The 14,919-nt window shown below is 30.4% G+C and overlaps 1 protein-coding gene across 2 annotated transcripts in view; it reads right to left on the bottom strand.

Moving 5' to 3' along the window:
• The window catches only part of EYS (eyes shut homolog), a 1,987,247-nt gene that overhangs the window by 1,562,103 nt on the left and 410,225 nt on the right, over positions 1–14,919 (bottom strand). For both annotated transcript variants that reach the window (NM_001142800.2, NM_001292009.2), the window contains exon 12: positions 13,781–14,037. In NM_001142800.2, the coding sequence (NP_001136272.1) occupies positions 13,781–14,037 (257 nt within the window). The remainder of the gene's footprint in view (positions 1–13,780; positions 14,038–14,919) is intronic.

Genomic DNA, 14,919 nt, shown 5'->3' on the forward strand with positions numbered 1-14,919 from the left:
TGGGGGTGGGGGGTGATGATTAATGAATACAAAATTTCAGACAGGAGGGAAAAAAATATATATATAGTTCTATGGCACAGCATGGTGAATATAGGTTAATAATAGAGTATTAAATACATTTCAAAATTACTAGGAGAGTACATTTCAAATGTTCTCATCACAAACATATTAAATATTTAAGGTGATGGATCTGTTAACTAGTTTGATTTAATTACTCCACATTCTATTTATAAATCAAAACATTGCTTTGTACATCATACATTTATAAAAAGTACCGATTTACAATTCAACAAATTTCTAACAATATACTGAATAACAAAATGAACTAAAATTAAATAAAAACATAACATTGGCTCTTAAAATGTCTGAAAGTAGAAAAAATAGTAATAGTTTTAAAAGTAAAACAAAAATAAGTTGTTAACACGTGAGCAAATTTTTAAGTATGTTATTGTGTGCAATGCTGATTTTCAAATTTTACTACATGATTATAGAACAGAAAACTTTAACTTGGAAAATATAGCCAATTTTTCATAAGCACTGTAAACATTCCATACTTTCTGGGGCCGAATGAGATAATACATTTTTACTGTCAATAATTGATGTCACAGATATTAACAAAATAGCTCACTAATAATGGCTTTCCATAAAGACATGTGCACATTTTAACTTTATATTCTAGGTACAATGCTTTTGTTAGTATTACTTCATTGCTCTATAACTATAATGTTTTTATTAATAAATACAGTAGCATTTGTATACTGTTGATTATTGGTCTTATTTGTACAATTAAATGGCTCAGTCTGCAGAGTTTCTTAAATTGTTTCATTTCTCAAAAAGTTTCATGTAATTTAGCATATTTTCTCCAAATGCCATTCATTTTACAGGTAGGCAAAATTAAATATATATACATCCACATGCTAAAATTTGTCATTTTAGTGACTGCTTATATGTTATTAGACATGTCTATCATCTTGCAAAATGCATAATTTAAAAAATTTGATATTTGTTAATATACTACATTTTCAACTACCCAAAGCAATACTAATTTTTCTTTTTTCCCACAAAATTAAAACAATATGACTCAATATTATTTGTTAGTTAATATTTTTCCTATCAGAACTCCATAGCTAGTGTTCTACTTGATCTTTTTGGCACTGAACTTTAAAAAGAACAAGTCTCATTCTGTAATAATTTTATTTTTATTTTAAAAAATATTTCAGCTCATGATGTTAAACCAGATACATTGATATTTATTTTATAATTCCAAATGATAATATCAGTTGTTTATATGGATTAGAAATTAGTTTTATATCTTACTTTTGATTATTATTTGTTAGCATTTAGTAGCAACATTTATCAATATGGTGGCAGTTCATTGTCGTGACTATTTGTTAATAACATCTTTTATTTTTTCTATTTTTTTTACATTTAAAATATTCTAAATTCCTTTCTCATATTATAGACTTGACATTTGTAACACTAATCCCATTCTTTACTGATTTTAATGGAGATTATTTTACTATGCCAATAGTAAAATAGAGTTACTCTGTTAACTCTACTTTTCTCCAATTTTATTCAAGTGGCTATTCATTTTTACGGTGGTCTCATTTCATAACCTTTTTTTCACAGTATCTATGCCTTTTTAAGAAAACATTTGTGTCAAGCTAGCTTTCTCATCTCTAGCAGATCTCATAAAGAATTATACTTTTCAGTGTCAATATTAGTTTCTATTTTGGTTTATGTTGCAAATTTTTATGGGCTGTATTTGAGCTTTGTATATTAAGTGAATTAATTTGTATGAGCAGAAATCTGAACAATCTAAATAATTGCTTACAAAATAGTAGGTTATTTTTATTTTAATCTTCTTGCCATTTCTGTGGCCACTATTAAAATCTTACGTGATCTAAACTCGATTGACTGAATGTTATATACGTTTTCCATCAAAGCGATGCACCAGTACTCCTGGAAGAGTTGAAAGATTCTGGAGCGATTGCTTTCTCACCTGCCAAGAATTGAAATGGCACATTTCCTGTGTGGCTGTGGGCTCCAGTTAGCCTCTGTTCTGTTGCTAGGTTCATGTTGTACACTGCGCAATGCCCTAGCCACAAACTTTGGGGAAGCTAATGGCTACCAGATAACAGAAAATCTATCTTCTCAAAAAGAAGTCTGGCCAAATTTTGTGCTTTTTATTTTGCTAAAAATAACTTATGTGAATATCCTGCTTCTGCCATTTTGTTTTTAATAATACATTTTGCCTGTCTCAGTTGCCATATGAAAAAAGCTACTACTTTTTTTTTGCAGGTGATTTTTAAAAAGTCAGAAGCTGTTAAGTATACCATAAGAAAAAATATCATTTTAAAAACTATTTTTACCATGTATGCTTATAACTATTAAAATTGAAAAGTTAATATCTATTATAGTGAATATTATCTAATGCTATATAATGAGAACCCACCTATGCTTCTCTGAAAATATCCTGGCTTACAGATCTATCCAGCTTGAACTTAACTAACATAACTCCAATCATCATTCATTTTTGGTGTATAAATAAAAAAGGAACCACATAGCTAAATGGTTTTAAATGTATAATTAATCACTATGGCCTCATTATACTTGATACCTTATGCCAAGGTAAATACAAGTATGGAAGAATAAACAGGTTGTTAACAGATGAATGGATGGATGAATCCATAATACATAACTTTGTTGAAGCGTATTTAAAAATACCTAACTTATTGAAAGATTGTTTGAAGCAATAAGCTTAGATCATCCTATAACTTATAACATCTGATTAATTTGCATGTTTACATAGTGTTCATGTAACAAGAGGTATTCTATTTGTAATGAAATAAAAACACTAAAATATCTTTAAAAGCAAACAAATCTATTTTCCTTCTTTCTTAAACATGTGCATATTTATTGTAAGTGTTTGATGTTTTCTGGCTATGTTTTTCTATTAAAGGTCTTCCCTGAAAAAAAAGAAAAAAGAATGACATGTAATGGAAGCTTTCAAAGTGATTGTTGATACGTGGTATCTTTTACAAAATTGAGAAATATATGTTAAAATTTAAAACATCAAATAAACCCTTTGAGGATTGTGTTTAAATTTGTGTTATTTTCTGCTACATTTTGTGGCCTAATTATGTGAAATTTTACTCTGCAATTGTATTTTGCAGCTATTTTACTATGAATAATTTGCATTTTTTTCTATTTTCCATGGAATTTAAATTAAAGACAATCAACTTTTCATTTATGAGAGCAGGGCAGTATCACCTTTACATTGTAGCAAAAATAACAAAAGATAGAGAAATCACTTAGTTTTCTGAGAAATGCAAAAAATGTATCTTTCCTCTCTTGCATTTTTGGATGCTGTTTTATAATGCTTTTTACATTTAGTCAGCATTTTTGAAAATTGTATAGATTAGAAATCTTTTAAGAAGTGCCCTAACAGCAAGAAAAGCCATGCTATCTTCTATTCATAAAAAAGATCATTTTGGAAAGGTACTTTCCTTCAGCAGCTTTTGGAGGCTGTTTATATAATGTAGCTGCAAAATAACATTTTCAGATAAATTTTAAAAACTACAAAAATATAAATTGTATAGTGTCAACAAATATGACTGTATTAAATGATAGAAAATGTCCTAAGTGTACAAATCGAGAAATATTACTGTCATATCACATTGAATTATAAATGCAGAGCTAACCTGGTATCTGTTAGAAAGAGAATGGAATTTGACAACTATATCATTTAACTTATAATGGTATAAAAAATCAGGAGAAAAAGTTCCCCAGGTATTGTAGGAACTTACACAACTTTTATCAGTATTCTGGAGGGTGACCAAATTGGTAGTTCACTGATTATTTTGGCCTTCACCCATCGTGAGGTTGCCTAGGTTAACACCAAAATTTTTCTGGGTTAGCAAAGCTACTAGGTCACAGGAGGGAAATTCTAACCAATCACTTCCATACTATGCCTTAAAAAATCTAAACACAGAAATTATGTTAGAATTTGCAGCCAGAAAATTAATTCTCATTGAAAATGTGTCATTTTCATACTTAGACCTGTTCATTTTAATCTCTATTCTCATTTACTCTCATTTAGTTATTTCTCAGTTGCTTGATAATTAAAATAATTATACAGTATGCATATATCACACTTCCAAATTAAGCTGGCCTTTTATACATTATCTCAATCTCTGCCAAATGTAGACTTGTCTTTCTCTCACTTCTTTCTTGTTTACAGTTACCTTGCATTTCATGGAGTGTTGGAAGACTCAGTTTCATCCCATTCATCTTTCAAGGATCAGCTCAAATATTACATTTTCTAATAACACAGGCAAAAGTCATTGACTATCCATCAAGACAGATTCTTGATTAAATTTTTAAAAATACATTTCTACATGTGTTGAATTAAAAATCAGGACCTGTAACCCACAGAAATATACATATATCTTCAAAATTTAACATGTGATGTCTTTAATGTTGATAAAACTATATTATCCATGTACATAAGTTATAGAAATGAATACCAAAAATTCTACCCAAAGAATAACAGTAATTCTTTCTTTGAGAGTACTAAAAATGTTCTGAATAAAAAGGGAAGAAAAACAAGCTATCAAAATAAAGTCTCAGTGATATGCCACTTAGTTATGCTGTGTAAATTCACATTAAAATTAAAAACCCACACTTTAAAATTATCTGTGGTCTTGGGCTGCTTGATATTTGATTTAAAAGCAGTTAATTGAAGAGTAGTAATTTTAAAAGTAGTGAATGGGGTTTTAGTTTTGTATTTGTTCATTTGTATGGGTGCTGTATTGTTGATTGATTTCTTAATGGGATTCTTTTAACTTCAATGGGAATGTGTAAGAAAATTAAATTACGTAAAGCCGGGAGCAGCTTATAAAAGTCTTGGGCTCAGTAGTGTTATCACCTTATATTAATATATTGGATTTCCCGCAGGAAGCTCAAGATCCTTTCAGTATTTATCCTAATAGTAAAGTAGGGCAGGTATACAGAGGGGAAATAGAATGTCTATACACCAATAATGGGAAAATTGAAAAAAAATAAGATATTTCATATTTAGATGAAACAGAATCAGAAACCAGGTCTCCTTTAGCTACTTTGGTACAGAATGAATGGTGCTCACACCTATAATTTTACTACCATTTACTATGGACCACTCCACAGTGTAGAAATGGGCTCAGCATAAATGCTAAACATATCATTACAAATACTTCATGTTATGATGAATATATTTGGTCATTTCCCTTGGGGTCACTTCCCAAGATGGTTATTTTATAACACTTTAATATAAATGCTTAACCTTTAAAAATGTAGTTCTTTTGGAGAAAATCCCAGATGTGCATACAATTAGAACCAACATCAAATATTTTGTGTTGCCAGATCACTAATTAAATTCCTGCACATAACCTTTTCCTTCCTGAAATGCAACATTTAGTAAATTATTTTATAATTATGCAAACAATGTTTTGTATAGCTTTTGCATTTTAATGAGTTTGGGAGAAACCAATTTAGAATTAAATCAGATTCTGAAAAAAAACGAAACAAAACGTGTTGTACTAAAGAGCTGCCATCTAATTATAATAACACACACTACTTTCCATGAGTCTGTAATTCCTTTGCCATTTAAAAAGTCACAAATTTTCTGCTTAATTTTTGTTTTTTTGCCTTTTTATGGGAAGATGTTTAAATATTTAAATTCACAAAGGACTCATAAGAATCTTCCAAAGTGAAGAAAAACTGTTCTGTCTCCCATAACCTTTTCTTTTATATTACCTTTCAAAAAAGTTTCTAGAGCTCCTATATTCTATTTGGTTAGATTAGCCTTCGGTACACTCAAAGTCCAGGGATCAAAGTAGGCAAAAATATAATGCCCAACTTTATTTCCCTGATTTCATCAATAATTTCATCAGACATTGTATAGAACAGTATTCTACTAATAGGACTAAATATGCATTAGTTGTTAAATAAAATGAAAATTATGTAGCAGAATAATTATCTTGAAATATTGGACTTTTTAAATTCGTTAAATATCTTTAGCCCTCTTTCTATTTCCTGTTTTTCAGAATGTAAGGAGTATAAATGGACCTGTAGGAAATGACAAACTTATGTCTGAGGGACAAACATATTGACAAACATATTATGTCTGAGGGAATCCTATAAATAAAGAACTGGAGTGAATAGCTGAAGTTCTGACAAAAAATATGGGAAATATTTGGTATTATAGCTGTCTGAGTCTTCCACTGAATTCTTTGTACCATGGTGTGCTTTAAAAAAATATAGGAATGGACAAAGAGGAGTCAAAGTTATTATAGGACTAAGAATACGAGATAGATACAAACAAACACATATGTATATATGTGTTCATAGATACAAGCACACACATGTGTATTTGGTACAGTTCTTTCATTTTACTTAATTAAAATTGACCTCCTACCATCAAACATCTTTTAAGTATAAAGGTGAAAGAAAGAGGTAATTAGAGAATGGAGAATTCAACACACGAGAGCTGCTTAAAAAGTTACCATACATATGGCAAAAGACACTAGTTGGAATTTCACAAATGTAGGAGATAAATAAGGGCAATAAAATAGTACAATGTGAGTAAATCTAATATTGGATGTATAAAATGATAACAATGTCTCCTGCTATTTTAAAGATATATGGAATAATACATATGCACATATATGTGAAGGGGATTAAATGTGGTTAAATATTTATGACTTTTACCTTGTCTGGAACGTGTAACAAGTACCAATTTCTATTAAAATATGGTAAGCTAATTAAAAGTATTGCAATCCCTAGGTTAAGCACTTAAAGAGTAGTAAAGGTAAGTGTTAATATCAATAAAGGGGAAATTGGACAGACAAAATAATCAATTGAAAAGAATACATAAAAAGGAAAAATATAACATAGAATGGATGAAACAAATAAAAAACAAATAGTGTTGGCATATATTTAAACCTTAATATAAACTAACTACATAAAATGAAAGTAGGTGAAGTCTCCAAATAAAAGATAAAGGCAAAAGTAGTATCCCATAAATAGATTTAAATAAGAAAATATGTTTATTTTATACAAATATGGATTAAAATAAGAAACTTTTAAGTATATGCTAAATAATATAGCTCAAAATTTAAAAGGTAAAATTTTAGAACTACTTGAAACTTATTAAAACCAACTGGCATGAGGACCTCTAACTCATTTATATTGGGTTTGTGTGTATGTATATACATTTATGTTTATTATAAATAGATGTAAATGTTATATAGTCAAATTTCCAACATTTAGCTACACTTTAAAACCACATGGGAGTATGGTATATAGATTGAAACACTGAGTTTTTTCTTGAGGACTACTCCCAAATATGTGGATATGTTATATTTGAGGTGGCATCAAAATACTGCTTTCGGAAAAATGTATTCAGATAATTCTTACCCCCAGCCTGATATATATACCACAGAAAAAGACATTTTGAAGTATATGCGTAAGGTAAATTTCTTCCAAATATCCAAGCACTATTCAAAAATTATCACATGCTAAGCCAAGCATAACAGATGAGTCATAGGAATCCAACATTCCTAACTCCTTCCTAAATTCACACATTACTAACAAATCATAGCAGTATTTCTGCCAAACTTTAGGAATTTTTCTCAGCACACTTCCTTTCAGTCCTCTTGGTAGGTGCTAGAAATTCTCTACAATTGGAAGAACAATAAGAAATAATTTTACATTTCTGTATTTTTCAAAAAAATTAAGAGCAAAAATATACCAAAAAGCAATGATTAGTAATCATGTTCTTTATTAATGATACATTAACACTGAAAATTAGTACCAAAAGAGTAAAAAGTATTGCCAAGTAAATTTAGAAGTCTTTTCTTTCAAATGCCATATTTACTCATAAATGGAAATGAAAATCAAGTCTGAAATCTATTTAGAAAATAGTACAAATAAGAAACTTTAATTTAATATTTTTAGAATACAGGCAAAGCAATACCCAAAGTATTTGTAGCTCCAAACTTGTTATTATTAAACAACAGACAGAATAAAAAATTGACTAAGGGTTAACAAAACATCAAAAATTAAAGAACACAAAGAACAAAGCATTGTAAAGTTTAGTAAAGATGGAGAAAGGACTCTGTCATTAAACATATAAAGTATTAAACAAAAATCAGAGAAAACCTTGAGAATAAATCTATGAAAATAAGTTCTTGAAAATAACAATGATATGCAGAAAAGTCTAACTATTATAAGAGAAAATACAAAAGATGAAAAAAATTGATTTTGATTTTATGACTATATTTTTTTCTCATGTTTTATTAGTTTTTGATTGGAACAGCTAGAATTTTGCATATCATTGAATTGTTATTCTATGACAATTATACTTTTAAATGTGAATATTATAAGTAACTCCAGTAATATACATTAGCAAATTCTTAGCAAATCCTAAGGAATTTTTAAAATGTTTGCAACCATTATGATTTATCTCACTTTATTTAAAACATTTTAGAGTTTAGAGTCAGAAATACTTTCCATATCTTTGTATAAAGTCAGCACAAGATTGTAAGGCCATAAACAAAACTTCTAATAAACGCATCTAAAAGACCAAAATTGTTAGTGCATCAGTGTGTGCAATTTGCAAAATCTTTAAAAATTATGAAAGTAAAATGTCAGTTTATTAAACAGCTGTTGTGCTAAATTATTACTTCCCCTTCTATTTCTATTTAATGTGTTTTAATTAGAAATGATATCATCTTATTTATCATCTCCTTAATATCAAGCCATCACCATGTTTAATGATAGTGAAATCTAAAGTCCTTTGAAATTCAGGAAGAAAAAAAATGGGTGTTTACTCTCACCATTAATATTGTACTTTGTCTTAGAAATTTGATCAAATGGTATTAAACAACAACATAATATTAGTTAAGTAAATAATAAAAAGAAAATAAAAACTACCTTTATTTGCAGATGTAATTCTCTCTAGAAATAATAAGAAAAGTTGTATCTTTAAATTATAAAGCACTACAGCAACTAAGTAAGATACACTTCTCAGGAAAACATGGTTAAAGAGCCTGTAAAAATTTCACATTGTAAGCACTCAATCTTTTTTTGCTGCTGCAAGAAGTGAAAATCAAAATGAGATATAATCTGATATGTTAAGAGTGGAGGAAAGTCAAAACCATAATGATTAATAATTGGCATAGTGAATGTGTAAACCAAATGGTCCTCCTGCACACTGTTGGTTGAAGTGTAAATGAGGACAGAGAATTTGGTTGTACCAAATCAACAACCACTCACATGTTTTTTTTGATTTAGCAATTTTCTTCAAGTTAGGTACATGCAGTTACATAAATACTTCGAAGCCATAAAAAGTGAGGTTGTATATTTATCTTATTGATATACACTGATGGTCAACATTCATGTGTTATTTTAAAAAAAGGAGGTTATAAACATATGTACATGAAATCCACTGTTAACCTTTCATAAGGGAGGTTGTTCTTTCCATGACATGAATGGGTAGGAAGTTGACAAAAACTAAAGGAAAATGCTCCAGGAGGTCATCTCTGGGAATTTAGGGATGAATACTCCTTGAGACAGATCAGCTCTGTGGAGACTCATCTTTGGAGTCTACTAAAAGAGTTATGTTGCTTCAAAGATGAGGCTCATTTTCATGAAGAACTAAATTCTCAGTACATCGAAAGAGTAGGATCCTGCTTCTACCTACATCAGAGAACTTAAGCCACTAGCTGAGTGGTTTAAGAGCCAGTATGTCAGAATATAGTGCAGAGTGATGAAATTGAGCTTGACGTGATCCTACAATATGTCTTGAAAGCCCTGAGCAGATACAAAAGGTTAATGGAATTTTTATGAAGAGAGGGATGTACATGCAGCTCCATGAGAGACAGAATATACTGGGATAAGTGATACCAACAAAAAAACATAGTGAATTTAAGGCACAACCCCGGTGACTAAAAACAAAATATTTTCTGAAGGAAGACTACAATATCATGGCGAATTTTGGGGAAAACCATAAATACAAGCAACGGGCTTATATAATATCTCCTACTTTCTCCTCTTAGGCATAAATTACAAAAGAAAATATATACAAAATAAAAGCAATTACATAAGATATAAAATCAATGTTATTTGTGCATTGGTGTTTTTAAAAGATCAGAACACAAAATAGGCTACACTATAAATTTGTTTTCTGTAAAACTATCCATGAGGTCTTAACAGAATTGGTGATTATAAGGGCTAGGTTAATTAAATGTCTATTCAAAGTATAGAGACTGGAATGTCGAAGGAAGCAATCAAGGGTAAAAATCTTACTAACTGGGTCAGTTTTGAACACCCAACATGAAGTAGTTCAATTCTAATGTGGACGAGATAGTCTTGGGCAGTGTGATCACTCCAGTGAGTGTTCTAGAAGTACGAAGGCACCTAGAAGTTTCTCTCTTTGTATATAACTCCTTTGTATATAAAGTACCCCCTTTAGGTACTTGTAGACTGCTTTGGGGAAAATGAAATTATAACCTGAAGGAATATAGTACAACAGTGAAAATAAGGCATCAATAACTGGCACTGTACAGTGGGAGCTAGGTTCCAGCTGAAATGCAAACGTGGTTGAAACATACTAGTACACTTCTACAGAAATAAAAATTAGCAGACAAGGAAAGGAAAGGGGCCTATGGAAAAGAAATTAATCCTGGAATTTAAACAGTTTTGTGTTGCCAAGGTAACTTAGACCTAAAAATAGAATAAAGTTGTCTGGTTGGCATTTTGGAGAACAGAGTCATAAAGATTTGCAAGTCAAATTTATAATATATAAGATTGTATCAGAAAAGGAGTTTGCTTTAGGATAGCAGCCTCATGGAAATTAGATGAAAACTAACAAGTCTATCAATAAGGCTTATCTCAGTCTCATCTCAAACAGGAAACGGCTGGGCTTGATATTGTCTAAGAACTTGAATCCTATTGGTTAAAGGAGAACTTCCTAGACTTCTCTGGTAATCAAGACAATCATAAGAAAAGTAAGATGAGAAGATGGTTACTCAAATCAAGAAGGACGATAAACTTGCATGGTCTTATTTTGACCATGTAAAAATTTTAGACAATACTAGTGCTGAAAGTGTCAAAAGGATGAGGGAAGAATATTAACTAAAAAAAAAAAATCAATTTTGAGTTCATTACTAAAATATTATAGATATAAATAACACTGGAATTGCAAAAAGGTTATAACCTGAAAAAACACATTCTTTGAAATTATTTCCAGAGTTAAAAATATTTGGAGAGTTTCAGAAAATTGATTGGAATCAGTTTTAAATCCTGTAGGATTCACTCAAGCATATGGCCTTACCAAATGAATGTATCAGCTTCTTCAAGAACTCCAGAGATTAGTGGTTTTCTGCAGAGAAGATTGGACTAGCTGCTTTCCTCATGCTGTGTTTCATGGTAGTTCACACTCAGAAGTGAATTTTACATCTTAGGATCCATACAACTCCTCTTCATTAACATAATTTACTGGGTTTAGAACAGTTTTCTTAAAGTGGTTCACAGATCAGCAGTGTAAGGATCACCCCAGACATGCTGGACGCTAGAGCTACCAACTGAGAAACTCCTAACGTGGGGCCAATAACTGGTGTTGTAACAAGACCTCCAGGTGATTCTACTAACATAACGTTTGTGATCCTCTGGGCTGGAGATACAGAGACTGACATTTAATCTGGAAATTTGACCGTAAGGCTAATACTTCCAAAAATGTGATGGGGATCAGGGAAATAAAAGGTGATTATACTTGATATAAAAAGCCATGGTTACGTTGTTTTTAAAATGTTAACAAATGCCTTCAGAAAGCACATGAGTTTGGAGACGGAGGGAGAGAAAGCAAATGGAGGGGGGAAAAGAGACAGCAAGGAGAAATCAAATGGAAAGGGAGAAAGGGAAGGAGGAGGATCATATGATGGGGAGAGAAACCAGGTGGAAACGGAGAAATCAGATGGGAAGAATTCAAGATGAAGGGAGATACAACTAACAGAAGGAACCAGATAGAGGAAGAGAAGGGGGCTGGAGAGAAAGAGGGGCATCTACTTTAAACTGCCCCCAAAAGATTCCACTTTTTGTGGGATTAACTCTGCATCCCTGGGAAAGTTTAGGCAGATCAGTTCCTTTACTTCTCACTGTGTGAAGAGTTTAGAAGTAGGACTGAACTGAGGAAAGCCAGAGGATTTTTTATAATTCAGTGGAAAGAAAAAGACACAATAGAAAATACAGGCCTTGCTTATAATATGGGCCTGTGAAGCTTGTGTTGGGTTTAATTTGAAAAGTGAAAGAAACATAATAGTGTTTAACCCCACCTGGAGAAGTAGGCCATACCAATTTTATATTATATTCCAGTAATAAGTATTATGTATATATGTGGTAAAACTATATAGTTTATACACAATATATATTTAATGATCATATAACGTACAACCAATATAGAGTTGATATAAAAATAATAGATGATTCATTGATCATGTTTGCAAATACACATATGTATTTAGCCATGCAAAAGGATTATGGCAAATTACATATTCTGTTAGTAATGGCATTATGCAGAGTTAAATTCATTCTTTATTTTATGTAAAATTACTGCTTAACTATATATTTACTGATATTTGGAAGATTGTTAAAGAAATGATATATATCTATTTTCTAAGACAGACACCTATATTTTAACAATGCTAGCACATTTATGCAATTTTATTTTTACTTAGAATATGTTTGAATGTGAAGTAATATGACCAACTTTTTAGCAAGCTTACCAGAATTTTTGCGCTCAAATTTATTTTTGCCTTAAAAAAGCTAATCTGGATGGCTATACATTTATTCCAATGATATCACCATTTCCATTTTTGGAATTTATCTTTAAATTGCTTCCAAAACCTTCAACATATTACTTTAAATACCAAGCAGGGAAAATATTTTTCATGTTACGATGAAAATCCAAATAACTTTTCGAATTGGGTCTGCTTAATAAAATGGAAAATCCAACTGGACAAAACTTAAATAATTTTGTTTTATAAGTGATAATGTAATTGTTTTTCTGTATGGCCACTGTTCTGATTTTATAAGGTAATGATAATAAGTTTGAAATTACTATAAATAATTATATCAATGTAAGACCAATCATAAAAATGTCAGGTAATTAAATTTGAATGCTTAATTTCTGATATTTAACCTTAAAAGCTGCCTTATTACTACACTGAATCTTGTTCTCTATGACTGTACAGAGAATATAGTATGTTTGTGACTTCACTTTTTCTTAAATGTTATTAACGTCACGGCATCAAACTGACCTAGACAATACTGAAACCAAATTTTATTCTTAAACTAGAAAAAATTGTCACTCCATGTGCTTATGCAGCCAAACAAAAGGTTGAAATGCAGTACTAAGCTGTTTAGGCAAAATTATTTGGAGCTTATGGCTGCCTGTTTTTCCCTTCAGACCTTTGACATATACCATCATATTCCCAATGCTTCAGCCTGACCTTATTAGTCTTATTTGCATGAGCAAGGCTGTGTAGTCAGATTAAATTGCCCAAAGAAGCAATCCTATTATTCAAGTGAATGCATTTTTTTTTTTACTTTGCCAAATAAGAAATGAGACAACAATACCAATCAATAGACACATTTGAGATATATTTGAGATATATCAAATAAATATATTAACAACATTATTTACTAGAAAATTTAATTTATCAGGAAAAAAAAAACTTGCCTTTAAATCCTGGGACACACTTGCGGAAGAAATATCCCCTTAAATGTGTACTAGTTGTTCCATTTTTGCAGGACGCAGATTTGCAGTCTTCAGTATCTATCTCACAGATGTTCCTTTCATATCTTTGCAGACCGCTACAGTTACAATTGTGCGAAAGGGCCAGGCAGAGGCCATGCACTGATATACTGTGGTTCCCTAAGCAATAGTCAACATTGACAACACACAATCTGCCAATGTAACTAAGAGAACAGCTGCATCTGAAACACAGAGAAATGAAAAACCCAATTAGTCATATACTTTATTTTGATATATTTAAGTATTTAAATCACACATTTATTTAAAAACACAGAAATAAATATTTAATGAAGATAGTTGTGGGGTGCATTTAAAAAATATTTTCATAAAGTGTCCATTCTTGGCAAAATTACTTTTGATTACTGTGCAGAATTATGAGTGAAAATAACTTTGGTGCTGAATATATCTAGTCTCAAAAACATATTCTGCCACTTAATTGCTATGTTAGCTGGGATAACATCATGAACTCTGCCTATGCTAATGTGTGTGTCTGTGTGTGTATTCATATATTATTAGGTTGGTGCAAAAGTAATTGTGGTTTTTTTCATTGAAAGTAATGGAAAAAAATCACAATTACTTTTGTCACAACTATATATATATACATATATATAAGATTATTCAAACTCAGTTTGTCACTCAATGCAATTATTTAAGATGTAGCTGTAAGGCAATGCCAGGTATTCTTATATTATTCTTTAAATCTATAATATTTTGAATTTTAAAATATCTGTACTCTTGAATACATGAACATAATTCATGCATTCATTATTTTAGTTTTTTAGATACATTTTTAATGAATTTGCAAATTTCGACGAGATTTTCCCATAGTAATTTCAATTTATCCAATATATTTTTCTAGTAGTTTTTTACATAGTTTTCTTGTAAGTGAAGACAATTGTGAAATAGTCTGCAATTTATGTAAATGTATTTTAAATATATTTTAGGTTTAATGTTGAGAACTATGTTGGCTATCAACAAAAGTGGGGATATTTTTCTGGAGTTAGAGAGACAAAGATTTTTCACTTTTTCCTTCCTTTCAAATACAGACGTGCACAGAAACACAC

Source organism: Homo sapiens, chromosome 6 (genome assembly GCF_000001405.40).
Source record: "Homo sapiens chromosome 6, GRCh38.p14 Primary Assembly".
In the NCBI taxonomy this organism is placed as follows: domain Eukaryota; kingdom Metazoa; phylum Chordata; class Mammalia; order Primates; family Hominidae; genus Homo; species Homo sapiens.